This window comes from Homo sapiens, chromosome 5, assembly GCF_000001405.40.
Source record: "Homo sapiens chromosome 5, GRCh38.p14 Primary Assembly".
In the NCBI taxonomy this organism is placed as follows: domain Eukaryota; kingdom Metazoa; phylum Chordata; class Mammalia; order Primates; family Hominidae; genus Homo; species Homo sapiens.
Genome location: NC_000005.10, coordinates 112,780,774 through 112,796,139, shown reverse-complemented (window position 1 = coordinate 112,796,139; position 15,366 = coordinate 112,780,774). Strand labels below are relative to the sequence as shown.

The window sequence follows — 15,366 nt, the reverse complement described above, 5'->3', positions numbered from 1 at the left end:
CAACTTCCTGTTGTCCATGGAGTTAAAGGTTATCTTTATTTTTTGTTCATTTGGGTTTCTGGGTACATATGACTGATGCTCAGCTTCTCTCCTACTGTGTAAATTTCCTTTCCCTTCAATACATTCAGAAACCGCAGGTATTCTGCTGATTTCATCTTCTTGGACTTAATCTCTCCTGGAATCCTCTCAATAGTTTCAATATGGACTGGTTGCTTTCTTTACCATTTATCTCAGGATGTCCCTTCATCTTTACTCTGTAGTTTCACTCATCTCTTTCTCTTGTATTATATCCCCTGGGTCTTGAGTTGAAAAAATTCATTTTTCTTGCTTTACATTTCGATTTCACTTGAGTATATCCTTTAATAGGTTCCAGAAAAGGGTGCATGAGAAAAACGTATTTGACACTTTGCCTATCTAAAAGTGTCTTTATTCCACTCTCAAATTTAACACTTTGATTAAAGGCTAGAATGGTATAATAAAAAATATAGCTGGTCTTTGTTCATTTGTACCTGAGAGAGCTTCAAATACCCTTGGAATTTCTCGAGTGATAGGGGTGTGTGTTATGCTAATGAGGCAACTCAGGGTAGGCCACCAGATAGCAAAAAGATGGGTGGCTGTCACCATGTGATAAGAGAGTTAGAACTTTGGGCCAGACGGACCTCCAGGAAGAGAAGGAGGCTGGAAATCGAGTTTAATCCTCATGTGGCCAATTATTTAATTAATCATGCCTACAGAATAAAATTTCAATAAAAATTATGGATACCAAAACTCAGTGCAGCTTTCTGATTGGTGAATACACTGAAGTGCTGGAAAAGGCTGGGAACGGTGGCTTATGCCTGTAATCCTAACACTTTGGGAGGCCGAGGCGGGCAGATCATGAGGTCAGGAGTTCAAGCCCAGCCTGGCCAATATGGTGAAACCCCATCTCTACTAAAAATACAAAATATTAGCCAGGCATGGTGGCAGACACCTACAATCCCAGCTACTAGGGAGGCTGAGGCAGGAGAATCGCTTGAACCCAGGAGGCGGAGGTTGCAGTGTGCCAAGATCACGCCACTGCACTCCAGCCTGGGCTACAGAGCGAGACTCTGTCTCAAACAAAAACAAAAACAAAACAATGAAGTGCTAGAAGAGTGACATGCCTAGATTCCACTAGGAGAAAGCATGAAATCTCTGCACCCCCATCCCCATTCCTACACCCCTTCCTTAGGCCTTGCCCCATATGTCTCTTCATTTGGCCATTCTTGATCTGTATCCTTATAATAAAACTGTTAATCCTAAGTATAGCACTTTCAGTGAGTTGTGAGCCATTCTAATGAATTACTGAACGTGAAGGGGATGTGGAAGCCTGGAATTTGTAACACACTGGGCAGAAATGTGAGTGGCTTGGAGATACTCAACATTTGTGGCTGGCATCTGAGGTGGGAGCAGTCTTGTGAAGGAGTCGGCTCTTAACCTGTTGGGGCTGTGCTAACTCTGGGTAGTTAGTGTGAGAATGGAATGGTACCACAGCACACGCACACGGGGTGGAATTTATAGACAGCTTGGCAGCAGTCCTGGTGGCTTAGGGACACCCAAAACTTGTGGCTGGCGTTTGAAGTGGACAGTCTTGTGACTGACTTTGTCTTTTACTTGTGGAGCTGACTCTAACTCTGGGTAGTTAGGATCAAAATTGAACCCAACTGGAGGATATACAGTGGTGTCAAAGAACTGGGGTCAAAACATAGCTGCACATATTTTCTTTTAAAAGGTTTAACAGGGGTCAGGCGCAGTGGCTCACGCCTGTAATCCCACACTTTGGAAGGCCAAGACAGGCAGATTGCTTGAGCTCAGGAGTTCGAGACCAGCCTGGGCAACATGGCAAAACCTCGTCTCTACAAAAAATACAAAAATTAGTCAGGCATGGTGGCACATGAGCTACTCGGGGGCTGAGGTGGGAAGATCACTTGAACCCAGGAAGCAGAGGTTGCAGTGAGCCGAGATTGCGCCACTGCACTCCAGCCTGGGTGACAGAAACTTTTTAAAGAGACTTACTTACATGGCAGGATTCACCAACAAAACAACCCAGCTAGATCATCCTACCTTTTTTTTTTTTTTAAGAGACTTAGTTCCACGTCTCTTAAAAAAAGAAAAGTTTTAAGAAATGCCTACCCTACTTCCCAGTTTCCAGTGCTGTTATTTACAAATGTAAAGGCATTTGCATTCCTGTTCCTTTATGTGAAATTTGTTTTCTCTTCCTTCTCCAGAAGGTTGTTAGAATATTCTTTTTATCCCCAGTGATTTGAAATTTCCTCATGATGTGTCTTAGTGTAGGATTATTCTTATACATGATGTTAGATACTGGAGAGACCAATTTTTTGGAAAACTAAGCCCCTTGTTAAAATTTCTGAGAAATTTTGATTTATTTCTCTAATTTCCTGTCTCCAGTTTCTCCATTTTCTTTTTGGAACTCCTTTTATTTGGATATTGAACCTTCCTAGAATGATCTATACTGTCTGGTAGTTAGTGTCCACTCATATTTAAGAGCGGGCTATCTATGAAAAAGTTAAATGAAGCTCTATGCCTGAAGAATGGATTTTGTCAACTATATTACCCTATAGGGTGATCTAGGTGGGTTGTTTTGTTGGGTGAATTTTTCCATGTAAGTCTCTTTAAGTTTTTTTTCTTGGGTTAGTCACATTCTTCTGATTTTTTTTCTCCCTTTTTAATGTTCTCTCAGCAGAATCAGGGTTAGTCACATTCCTTATAGAAGTTCCTTCCAGAAACTTGCCTGGAGATTATAAGCCTGGATGCCAGTGGGGGTTTCAGCATTCAGTAGGTAAATTTTCATGTAATTCAGTGTTTCGTATGATACCCTCACGTTCAATTAAACAAGGTTGACCCCTAACCAAAGACCCTTTGTTTACCCTCTCCACCTCTTCAGAGGAGAAAGCTCTCATCTTTTGCTGGGATTGGAAAGGAGCAGTCACCTAGCTGTACAGGGTTGTAGGGAGGTTCTGGAAAGTCCATCTGCTTCTTAACAGATTTTCAAATATCTTCCTGCTTTTAACCCTTTTTTACTCTCACACCCAGAGGTATCTAGTTGCTTCATGACTTTTCATTCCTATTGCTGCCTTATGGGTCAACCCTCTCTGATATGCTAGAATGTTATCACTTGTTTACCTGCTTTCCAGCTCCACGGATTTTACTGTGGTCACCTTCCCTGGTCTTAATGCCTCTTTCATTGTATCCTTTTACTATCACTTTAATGGGGTTTCTGGAGTAAACACAGGTAAATGTGTATTATCAATTCTTACTATGGATTATCTATAAAAAAGTTTACTTACTGGATAGTAGCCAAATTAAGTTAACTATTTGATTATATGTAAACTGACAGCTAAAGTAAGGTATCTATATTTACAGTTTTATAAATTTTAACTGCCTAAAAGTTAGATAAAATCAAAATAGTCCAAATCTTTGATAATTTAATTTCACGAAAAAAATTACGGTATTTAAATTCTCTGAAAGAACATCTATATTTCAATGGTGTCACATTAAATTATACATGTTTTCTTTTCTCAGAATAACTACCTATTTTTATACCCACAAACAAGAAAGGCAATTTACTAACCTCTGCTTCTGTTGCTTGGGACTGTAAAAGCTGTCGTATACGAAGTATGTCCTTTTCGATTTGCTGAATTCTGGCTATTCTTCGCTAAAATAAAACAAGAAACCTAATTAGTTATGTTTTTATTAATAATATTAATAGAAATAATCATACTATGGCTACCACTTAAAAGCTCAGGGTTATGTCAAATCATTCTCATTTAAAAAGCTAGACATATAAATATATTCACCCTTTAATAACAAATTGGGGTCAGTTCAATTTTTCTTTTCTTTTTTTCTTTTTTTTTCGAGACAGAGTCTCGCTCTGTTGCCCTGGCTGGAGTGCAGTGGCATAATCTCAGCTCACCGCAACCTCCGCCTTCCGGGTTCAAGTGATTCTTTTGCCTCAGGCTCCCGAGTAGCTGGGACTACAGGCGCGCACCACCACGCCCAGCTAATTTTTGTATTTTTAGTAGCGATGGGGTTTCACCATACTGGCCAGGCTGGTCTCGAAGTCCTGACCTTGTGATCCGCCTGCCTCGGCTTCCCAAAGTGCTGTGGGCTTACAGGCGTGAGCCACTGTGCCCGGCCCTGGGTCAGTTCAATTTTTTGTAATACACTGGACTTTATTCAACAGATGTCTAGATCTGCTTAGTAAAACTGGAAATACAAGTCATATATCAAATTGTATGTTGCATGAATTATGAAAATTGACACAATACACATTGTGAAAATTTATTCTCAAAAAATATTTCAACAAAGAGAAAATTACACCTGCATTTAATCTTTTATATTAATCGAGACATTAATACAATATAATAAATTTATATAAACATAGTATACCAGTAAAGGGAAAGAACATCTGATTTGTTTTAATAAATATCAGGGTCCCCAACCTTTTTGGCACCAGGGACTGGTTTCGTGGAAGAAATTTGTCTACTGACTGGGGCAGGGGAAGTCTCAGGATAAAACTGCTCCACCTCAGGTCCTCAGGCATTAGATAAGATTCTCATAAGGAGCCCGCAACCTAGATCCCTCACATGTGCAGTTCACAAGCGGGTTCATGCTCCTAATGCAGCCACTGATGGTGGCAGGAGGCAGGGCTCAGGTGGTAATGCTTGCTCGTGGCCTGGGGGCTGGGGACCCCTGGTTTAAACAGTAGGCCCAACTCTTCCCCAAAGTTACTTCTGTCATAAGTTAGTAGTATTTTTCAGCCTTTCCAAGTACCTAACTGTGGCTAAACATTATTTTTTCTCCAACACTAGGATCATAAAGAGGATAGAGCTTTTGCTTTTCCACTATATGGAGACCATCAACTGGTCACAAAGCAGTAACTACAGATTGAACCACATGGAATGGAAACAATGTGGGGAATATATTGTGTGTGTGTGTGTGTGTTTTTTAAGCTAGACTTCATTTTAACTTTTATGAATACTAGTGGAAGTGGAAAAAACAACTCACTTATGAATAAAGACTTTGCAAATGTCTCATAAAGCTAGTTTATGACAAATCAAACACATATGTTTTAAAAACAAGTACTGACAATGTTGTACCATTTTCTGTAATAATTCTATAGTTATTGACATCCTAATATTGAGAAATCAAAAATTATATTATAAAAGTAAACTGTTTCAATAAGGGGTGTGTGTGTGTTAGAAGCTAGATGGAGTATTTCCAAACATTTTTCAGTTATGTTCTCCATCAATAAAATATTTCGGAACAAATATCACCCCCAACAGATAAATAATAAAAGTACTATGGCAATTAGCTTTAAATACATGCAGTTATAAAACTTACTCTTTGATCACATCTAGTTTTACTTAAATACAATGCCTTCATGCTTTTCTTACTACCATAGTAAAAATGTTTACTGCTATCATCCAGTCTTATGATAAACAAAGAACAGAAAACTCAAGTTGTGTTCGCTGCCGGGCACGGTGGCTCACGCCTGCAATCCCAGCACTTCAGGAGGCCGAGGCAGATGGATCACTAGGTCAGAAGATTGAGACCACTCTGGCCAACACAGTGAAACCCCGTCTCTACTAAAAATACAAAAAGAAATTAGCCAGGCATGGGTGACGCGTGCCTGTAATCCCAGCTACTCGGGAGGCTAAGGCAGGAGAATCGCTCGAACCCAGGAGGCAGAGGTTGCAGTGAGCTGAGATCATGCTACAGCACTCCAGCCTGGGCGAGAGTGAGACTCCGTCTCAAAACAAAAACAAAAACAACCCCCACCCCCCAAAAAAAACCCAAATAAAACAAGAAGCTGTGCTCACAGTCCCAAATTAATCTATCTTAATTTTCTCCCTCTTTTCTTTCTTTTTAACAATATAACTAAGCTGAGTCTCTATCATGATTCTGAAAGTAGTAAACTTAAGGTAAAAAAATATTCTCAGGCCAGGCACCGTGGCTCAGGCCTGTAATCCCGGCACACTGGGAGGCCAAGGTGGGCAGACTGCTTAAGCTCAGGAGTTTGAGACCAGCCTAGGGAACATGGTGAAACCCCGTCTCTACAAAAAATACAAAAATTAGCCAGGCATGAGGGCATACGCCTGTAGTCCCAGTGACTTGGGAAGCTGAGGAGGGAGGATGGCTTGAGCCTGGGAGGCGGAGGTTGCAGTGAGCGATATCGTGCCACTGCCCTCCAGCCTGGGAGACAGAGCCAGACTGTCTCAAAAAAATAGAAAAAAAAAAAAATATTCTTTAAGTAACAAATCTTACCATGTCCAATTCACAGTATGAAAACCATCTGAAGAAGTACCTGTACTTTTGCTAGTTTTCTAAAGATATTGCAAAGATGAGTGATCATTTCCATAACCAGGTGGCAAGTACTTCCTAGCTTTAGAGAAATAGCCAAGCTACATAAAATTACTGGATTTCTAAATTTGATTGTTTCCTCCTTTTCTATATAATCAGTTTCTATATAATTAGCTCCCTTCCATCAATATAGGCCTAAATAAAAATTTTTAATATTTAGAGGATGAAAATAGGAAATTATATCTCCCACTCCTCTCCGTTTTACACTACATTTCCATATTGCCAGTATCTCACTAAATACTGAGGTCATGTCTATGTCTTGATGTCCAGTGAGGTGGATGGTTTCTGACATGACATTCCTTGTGCTTCTGTTTCTAATATGAAAATAGAAGAAGCCACTACACCTTGAGTATTCCTAATCCCTATACCTAATACAAAAATCCAAAACCCAAAATGCTCCAAAACAGGAAACTTTTGGAGCACCCACATGGTGCTCAAAGGAAATGCTCACTGCAGCACTTCACAATTTGGATTTTTGGATTAGGATGCTTAACCACTAAGTATTTCTTTCCTTTTTCTATATGACAAGAATATTTGTGAAGTTATATTTAATAACAAACTGTTCAGGAGTATGGACTTGATATGACTTTAGAAAAAAGTGATTTTTAAAAACTGCAGTAGTAATACAGATTCAGGATAACTCTCCACAAATTAGAATAGAAGGTAAATCCCTTAACTTGATAAAGGGTACACTTAACTGTGTAAACAACACACTTAACTGTGAAATTTTAGAAGAATTCCCTTTAAAGTCAAGACAAGAAAAAGAAGACCACTATCATTGTTTCCATTCAAAGATGTATTAGAGTTCTTACACAATACAACAAAAGAAAAAACGCTGTAAGGACTGGAAAGGATAAACAAACTGTCATTATTTGCGAACAATATGACAGTGTATAGAATCTTAAACCGGCGATGATATAATAAAATATTTCAGGAAGACTGCTGGATACTTTTCACTTAAATGTAATTTAGTAATATAATTAAAGAAATTCTCACTTATAATAGCAACAAAAACTGTAACATATCTAGGAATAACTTTTTTAAATGATATGTAAGACCCCTGTGAAGAATTTGACAAAACCTTATTGAAGGATATAAAATAAAGCCTAAATGAATAGAGAGATATAAAATTAGTAAGAATACCTAATAATTTGCTTACTATGTGCCAGGTTCTGAGTGCTTTTACATATATCAACTCATTTAATCCTCACATTTTACAGTTTATCACTATCTGTATTGTACTGACAAGAAAACTGAGGCAGAGAATTTACCTAGGATCATGGTGTTGCTAAGTGGCAGGTCTGGGATTTGAATATAGAAGGTCTGGTTCCAGAGTCCATCCTTTCAACCAAGACTAAATATTATGAAGGTCTGACTTCTCCTTAATCTATAAATTTAATGTAATTCTAATCAAAAGCCCATGAAGCTTTTATCTGAATTAGAAGCTGACATTAAAGTTTACATGACAAGAGTAATAAGGCAGAATACTACATTTTTAAAAACAAAGAACGATTCACCCAACTGGATATCAAGATTTATAAAACTGCAGCAAATAAAAAATGTGGTATCAGTGCAGGCATGGAGAAGCTAAAGTGGACTAACAGAAGAAAGTCCAGAAATATCCAGCATATATAAACTTGTTATGTGATAAGAGATGACATTACTCATCGATGAGGAACTAGTGCGGTATCCAATACATGATAATGAGAAATTCAGTTAACAACATAAATATATGTATGTATGACTATACATAACTATATATACACACATGTATAAATCATGTGCATGTATAATACACATACACACATATATAAGTAATATACATATAAGTTAGATTCCTGCCTCCACAACATACATAATAGCAAACTCAAGATGAATTAAGGAGCTAATAGAAGATTACCTTTACGACTTCAGTACAGGAAAAGATGTATAAATCTGGCAATATAACTAATTTAGCTCTATCATAAAAGTTTATTTTTGTTATGAGGCTAATACAGATAACAGATTTGGTGGGGAGGAATTGAGATGTATATTATCTACAAAGGATTGGTATCAAGAGGATATTAAAACATCTCTCAAACAAATGAAAACAAGACATTTAACAGTAGGGAATGAGCAAGGGATATGAGGAAGTAACTTAGAAAGAAAACCCCAAAATCTAATAAATATTTTCGAGATTCAACTTCAGTAGCTCAGGAAAATACAAAGTTTAAGATGACAAAATGTTTCACTACCCACTGATTGTTAATGATAAATTCTGACTCACAAGTGATGGAGAAGACATACAGAAACAAGAATTGTCACATACTACTATTAGGAATGTAAACTAAAAAGATTACTTTAAGAGCAATTTGGCAAACACTCATTCAAAACACTCATACCTTATGACCAGTAATTATGCTTTTAGATATATATGCTAGGGCAACAGTCAGCAAACTAGGGCCTACTAAGCCATCTGTTTTTATAAATTAAGTTTTACTGAAACACAGCCATGCCCATTTGTGTTCATAAATTATCTATGGTTGCTTTCTTGTTAAAAGGCACGGTTGAGGCCGAGAGTGGTGGCTCACGCCTGTAATCTCAACATTTTGGGAGGCTGAGGCAGGTGGATCACCTGAGGTCAGGAGTTCGAGGCCAGACTGGGCAACATAGTGAAACCCCGTCTCTACTAAAAATACAAAAATTAGCCAGGCGTGGTGGCACATGCCTGTAATTCCAGCTACTTGGGAGCCTGAGGCACAAGAATCGTTTGAACCTTAGAGGCGGAGGTTGCAGTGAGACAAAATTGCATGACTGTACTCCAGCCTAGGTGACAGAGTAAGACTCTGACTCAAAAAAAAAAAAAAAAAAAGAAAAAGAAAAAGGCAGGGTTGAGTAGTTGCAAAAGAGACCATATGGTCCACAAAACCTAAATATTTACTATGTGGCCTTCTAAGAAAAAGATTGCTGACTCCTCACCTAGAGAAACTCTTGCATGTTTGTTTACAAGACATGAATAAGTATGTTTATCAGAGCTGTTTTCTTTTTTAATACTTTAAGTTTTAGGGTACATGTGCTGTTTTTAACTGAAAAATTAGAATCAACTTAAGTGTCCATCAACTAGGGAGGAGATAAACTACATTAAACAGTATCATCAATTATGGCAATATAGAGGTGTACTTACACCTTCACCCCACCAATTCCCACATCCCAGTAGTAAGCTCTATTAACAAACTGATGTGCACTTTTCCAACCTTTGCTTACATGCCTATGGAAGGGTAAGTACCACCATACTAGGTGACCAAATACACACTGAACAAGTAAGAGTAAATAAATAACCATGCAGTTAAGAGGTACCTGGAGACTAACAATCTCACATAGGTAGGCACAAGTGGATTTTGAGTTTTCCTAAATTATTTACTAGTCATCTGTGTTTTACTGGTCATTTGCCATCTTTTTAATGAACTGCCTTATTACATCCTCTGTCCATTAAAAAACATGGGTTAGGCAGGTGCGATGTACACGCCTAAAGTCCCAACTATGTGGGAGGCTGAGGAAGGAGGGTTGCTAGAGCCGTTTGAGGCTGTAGTGTATTATGATTGCTCCTGTGAATGGCCACTGCACTACAGCCTGGGCAACCAGCAAAACCCCCTCTCTGAACAAAACAAAAACACAGGGTTGTCTTTTTCTTATTCATTTGTAGGAATTCTTATATTTTAGAGATATTACCATTTTCCCCTTTATGTGTTATAAGTATTTTTCTAATTTATCTTTTGTGCAATGAATGATTTAAAATGTTATGAGATAAATCCCAACTTTCCTTCCTCTTTATTGCTTTTGAGTTTCCATTCATATTTAAGAAGATCTCTTGCCTGTATTTTATTCTATTAATTTTAGATTTATTTTTCACATTTGAATAGCTAATCAACCTATAACTTTTCTTAAGATGTGAGGTAAGGGTTTAATTTCTCATCTTCTGAACAGGTCATTGGTTGTACCTATATAATTTATTGAGTAATTTATCAATTTCTCCAAAATTTATAATGTAACTTCTGTCATATAAAGGTTGTAAATATTCCTGTACCTCTTTCTAGTCTCTATCATTTGCCTAAATTTATTCCTGTGCTATTATCATACTGTGATTATTACAACATCTTCACAATAGATTTTAACAAATGGTAAGGTAAATCTTCAATTATGCGTTCTTTCATAAATGTTTTTGGAAATTCTTGCATTATAAACTTTATAATCATTTTTCTAGGTTCCAAAAAATTTAGTGTCCTTCAACAATTTTATGTTTTTCTTTATGCAGGCTTTTTCTAGTTACTTTAAAGTTTCCTGTTACTGTGAACAGGTCCTCCTACCCCCATTTCCACCTTTAACTGGTAGTTATTGCTGATTTTTGTATGTATCTTAACTTGAGTTACCTTACTAAATTCTCTTACTAGTTTAAATACTTTTTAGTTCATTTTGTATAGCTTTTCTAGGCAAACCACCACATCATTTACAAATAATTATTTAATCTCTTCCTTTCTAGTTCAAAAATAGTGTAGGATTCATAACACTTATTTTGTTTTTTCTACTTGCATTAGTCAAGCCTGTCAAACAAAGTTAAATAATAGTGATGACGGCAAGCTACTCAAACATATTAATGATAGCAACAATGATTACCTCATTATTTCTGTTTTCTTTTTCAAGACAGGGTCTTGCTCGGTCACCCAGGTTGGAGTGCAGTGGCATGATCATAGCTCACTGCAACCTCTAATTCCTAAGCTCAAGCAATCCTACCACCTCAGCATTCCTTAAGGCAGCTGGGATTACAGTTGTGTGCCAACACTACTGCTAACTTGTGATCCTCTTGCGTCAGCCTCCCAAAGTGCTGGGATTACAGGCCTGAGCTATTTCACTCAGTCACTATTTTCTTAATATAAGGTTTGCTTCTGGTTTGTGGTAATACTTATGTTTAAAAACTTTCATTCTATTCTTATTTTATTTGGAATTCTTATTTACTCCTTCCCCTTGCAAATGAGATCCCATATTTTTTCTCATAGCCTCAGACCCTCCTGAGATCTCCTCTTCCAGGGCCGTTCTTGTTTCACTTGCTGAATCACCCAAGCAGGGAGTTAGGAGGGAAAGGAGTGCTTTGGCTACCATATTCCCACTATTCTCAGTATGGTATTTTATAATAGCTTGCATACTATTCATTTAATAATTTAAAATATGTATCTACATTCTGCCCTAAAGTAAGTATTTCTGTACGCAACATATTCCTAGAAGTCCTATAGAAACACACGGTCATAGAGCACAGGCATTTTAATTTTGGCAAATAATGCCAAATTGTCCTCCAAAAATGTATCAATTTATTCTTAAAAGAACAGGGCAGACAATGTTGGCTGGGTGCAGTGGCTCATGCCTGTAATCCCAGCACTTTGGGAGGTCAAGGCAGGCAGATCACTTGAGGCCAAGAGTTCAAGACCAGCCTGACCAATATGGTGAAACCCTGTTTCTACTAAAAATACAAAAATTAGCTGGGCGTGGTGGCACACAACTATAGTCCCAGCTACTCAGGAGGCTCAGGCATGAGAATCGCTTGAAGCCAGGAGGTGGGGGTTGCAGTAAGGCGAAATCAAACCACTGCACTCCAGCCTGTGTGACAGAGCAAGACTGTGTCTCAAAAAGAAAAAACAAAGCAAACAAAAAAGATTTAAAGGTAGATGATGTTTTTACTTTCACACCCTTGCTAATACTGCATGTCATCAAAAATTATAAAGTTTCGGGCAGCTGATAGGCAAAAAAAAAATAGTACCTTACTTTATATTACATTTCCCTGATGTGTAGTGATGTTTAAGCATCTTTTCACAATTGTTTATTAGACACTTGAACTTAATTTTCTGATGGAACTATTCACATCTTCTGACTATTTTGCTATTTGGTTATCTGTTTTCTTTCTTTTCTTTTCTTTCCTTTCTTTCTCTTTTTTTTTTTTTTTTTTTGAGTGCAGTGGTGAGATTGTAGCTCACTGCAGCCTTGAACTCCTGGGCTCAAGGGATCCTCCTCAGCCTCAGCCTCCCAAGTAACTAGGTCTACAGATGTGCACCATCATACTCAGCTTTTTTTTTTTTTTTTTTGGTAGAGGCAGGGTCTTGCTATCTTGCTCAGGCTGGTCTCGAACTCCTGGGCTCAAGTGATCCTTCTGCCTCAGCCTCTCAAAGTGCTAGAATTACAGGTGTGAATCACCATGCCTGGCATGGTTGACCATTTTCAATTGATTTGTAGGTGATCCTTGTAGAGTAGGGATATTAAATCTCTTATATATTCTACCAACATTTCCATTATTTGCCTTTTTATCTTGTTTACAATTTCTTTAACCTTAACCTTCATATAACTATTTCCAGAATAAATGAACACGTATGTTTCTCAAAATACAGAATAAAATTTCCTTAGAATATTAACTACCAAAATGAAGGATACGGCATTCCAGAATAAAGTAAGAATGACAGTATCAGCGCTTATGTGAACAAAATGGCCAAGAAAGAACTCAAGTTAACCTCTCCTCAGGGATATAAAATGTCTGGAATACACCTACTTATATTTATATAGCACAAGAATTTTTACAACTACCATCACATCTTGTTCTTTTAGGATCTCTCTCTCTAAAAAAAAGCTCACATTAACAGACACAGAAAAACTAACTTATGTCTACAGTATCCCATATATTCATGTTCTAAAAATGCAAATTCATATAAACCAAAGTAATACTTGTTTTTTTGAAACAAATAAACCTAACATTTTAAAATAATTCCATGAAAATCTAAAATTTAAATCTAAATGTAAAATGCAATGTATTTTTAGAAGTTATTTATATATTCTTGATTTTAGTTCTTTGCCAGTTATATGGTAATAAATATCTTCTCCCAATTTGTAAGTTATCTTTTCACTTTCTTTCAGGTACCTGTTGAAGATAAATTCTTAATTTTAATACAGTAAACTTATTGGTCTTTTATCATTAGCGTTTTAAGTCTTTCTTAAGAAATACTTTCCTACTCTAATATCAGAAACATACTTATGTATATTTTCTACTGAAAGGTTTAAAGTTTTACTTTTGACATTTAAGTCACGAATCTTTCTGACTGGGATAGGGGCAAGAGGGAAGGTAAGAAAAAATGATATATACACGTATTATAACTAACATGTACACATACATGCACATGCACACAAACACTAGTTAAGCCCCCAACCTCATTATGATCTTAACCTTCACTATGAAACTAACATGTATGGACTATGAAATGTAGTATGGTACTGGTGTTTTAGTAGCACCTTAGCCTTCCACCATACTCCAAAACAGATAGAATATACATTATGTTTAGGCTGGGTGATATGGTTTGGCTGTGTCCCCACCCAAATCTCATCTTGCAGCTCCCATGTGTTGTGGGAGGGACCCAGTGGGAGATAATTAAATTATGGGGGTGGGTCTCTCCTGTGCTGTTCTTGTGATAGTAAATAATTCTCACGAGATCTGATGGTTTTAAAAATGGGAGTTTCCCTGTCAGTCTCTCTCTCTTTGCCTGCTGCCACCCATGTAAGACATGACTTGTTCCTCCTTGCCTTCCACCATGATTGTGAGGATTCCCCAGCCACGTAGAACTGTTAAGTCCCTTAAACCTCTTTCTTTTGTAAACTGCCCAGTCTCGGGTATGTATTTATCAGAAGCCTGAAAACAAACTAATACACTGGGCATGATGACTCTAAATCCTAGCACTTTGGGAGGCTGAGGCCGGTGGATCACTTGAGGTCAGCAGTTCAAGACCAGCCTGGCAAACATGGCGAAACAAAAACTAGCTGGGCATGGTGGCGCACGCCTGTAATCCCAGCTACTCAGGTGGCTGAGGCAGGAGCATTGCTTGAGCCCAGGAGGCGGAAGTTGCAGGTGAGATCATGCCATTGCACTTCAGCCTGGGCAACAGGGTGAGACTCAAGAAAAAAAAAAAAAAATCATTATGTTTAGGAAGTGTCACAAAAAAAATAAAGACTATACTTCAAGGAATGTAAAATATCCTACAGTAGCCATTTTAAAACTATTTAATATGTTTTATAGAATACAAAATGTATGTGTATCACTACCATGTAAATGTTGGTCTCTGCTTTTATTTGCTATATTTACTTAAAGAAAATCTTTAAATGTTTTCCTCCCAATTTGTCCCAAAAGTTAAAAAAGAAAACAACAACCCACGCTAGTTTTGAAACAGATAAGGCAATTGGCAAGGCCTCTTCAGGGCTTTAAAACATTAGTCAGTCATAAACTTGTTTGAATATAAAAAGGCTATATTCAATAATATATAAAAATACTTAATAGCAAAGCTAGCTAATACTCTTTCTTGACATTGAGGGTAGAAATATGGGAATGTTCTCCATACAACTTACTTCATCTCTCCTAAAATTCTCTTTGTTTCCTTCCTATTATCCTTGAATGAGGGTTTTTTAAGTGCACAATTTGAAGAGCAGTGACATGTTCTGAATGCCTTTATACAGTCTAAGATTACAAGAAGTAAAAATTTCAAAGGAGAACTGAAGCTAGTCATTAGCTACCGGAAGACCACCATCTAACTCTGTCTCTCCCTTATAATTCCAAGGCAGAACAGAACAGTACCAGGGGAAATGAATATGGTAAAGACACAACTATGTGAATATTGATTATGTTGCTCAGCAGCCATGATAAATCTTATTTTGAAATAGAGCCAAAATAAACACAGCCTTATGTCTTTAATAAAATTTAATCAATATTAACAGAGCTGTAATTCATTTTATTCCTAATAGCTCTTCGCTGTTTTATCACTTAGAAACAAGTAACTTACCTGTGCTCGTTTTTCCATATCCTGGCAGGTACCTAGTTGTTCTTCCATCGCAACTCTGATTTGCCTTGCTTCATATTCCAATTGCCTTCTGGTCATATCTGTTTGTAAGGAAAACTAAAACCACAAATAA

The 15,366-nt window shown here is 37.4% G+C and overlaps 1 protein-coding gene across 37 annotated transcripts in view; it reads right to left on the bottom strand.

The window, feature by feature from the left end:
• Nucleotides 1-15,366, bottom strand: part of APC (APC regulator of Wnt signaling pathway) — a 138,742-nt gene that overhangs the window by 50,100 nt on the left and 73,276 nt on the right. For 32 of the 37 annotated variants that reach the window (NR_176366.1, NR_176365.1, NM_001407470.1 and 29 more), the window contains 2 exons: nt 15,237-15,350; nt 3,611-3,694 (listed from right to left, as the gene is read on the bottom strand). Coding sequence is in view for 31 of the 37 variants with exons in the window: in NM_001407447.1 (NP_001394376.1) it covers nt 3,611-3,694; nt 15,237-15,350 (198 nt within the window). In the remaining 6 variants the exon portion in view is untranslated. The remainder of the gene's footprint in view (nt 1-3,610; nt 3,695-15,236; nt 15,351-15,366) is intronic. The other 5 variants (NM_001407452.1, NM_001407469.1, NM_001127511.3 and 2 more) reach the window with 1 other exon arrangement.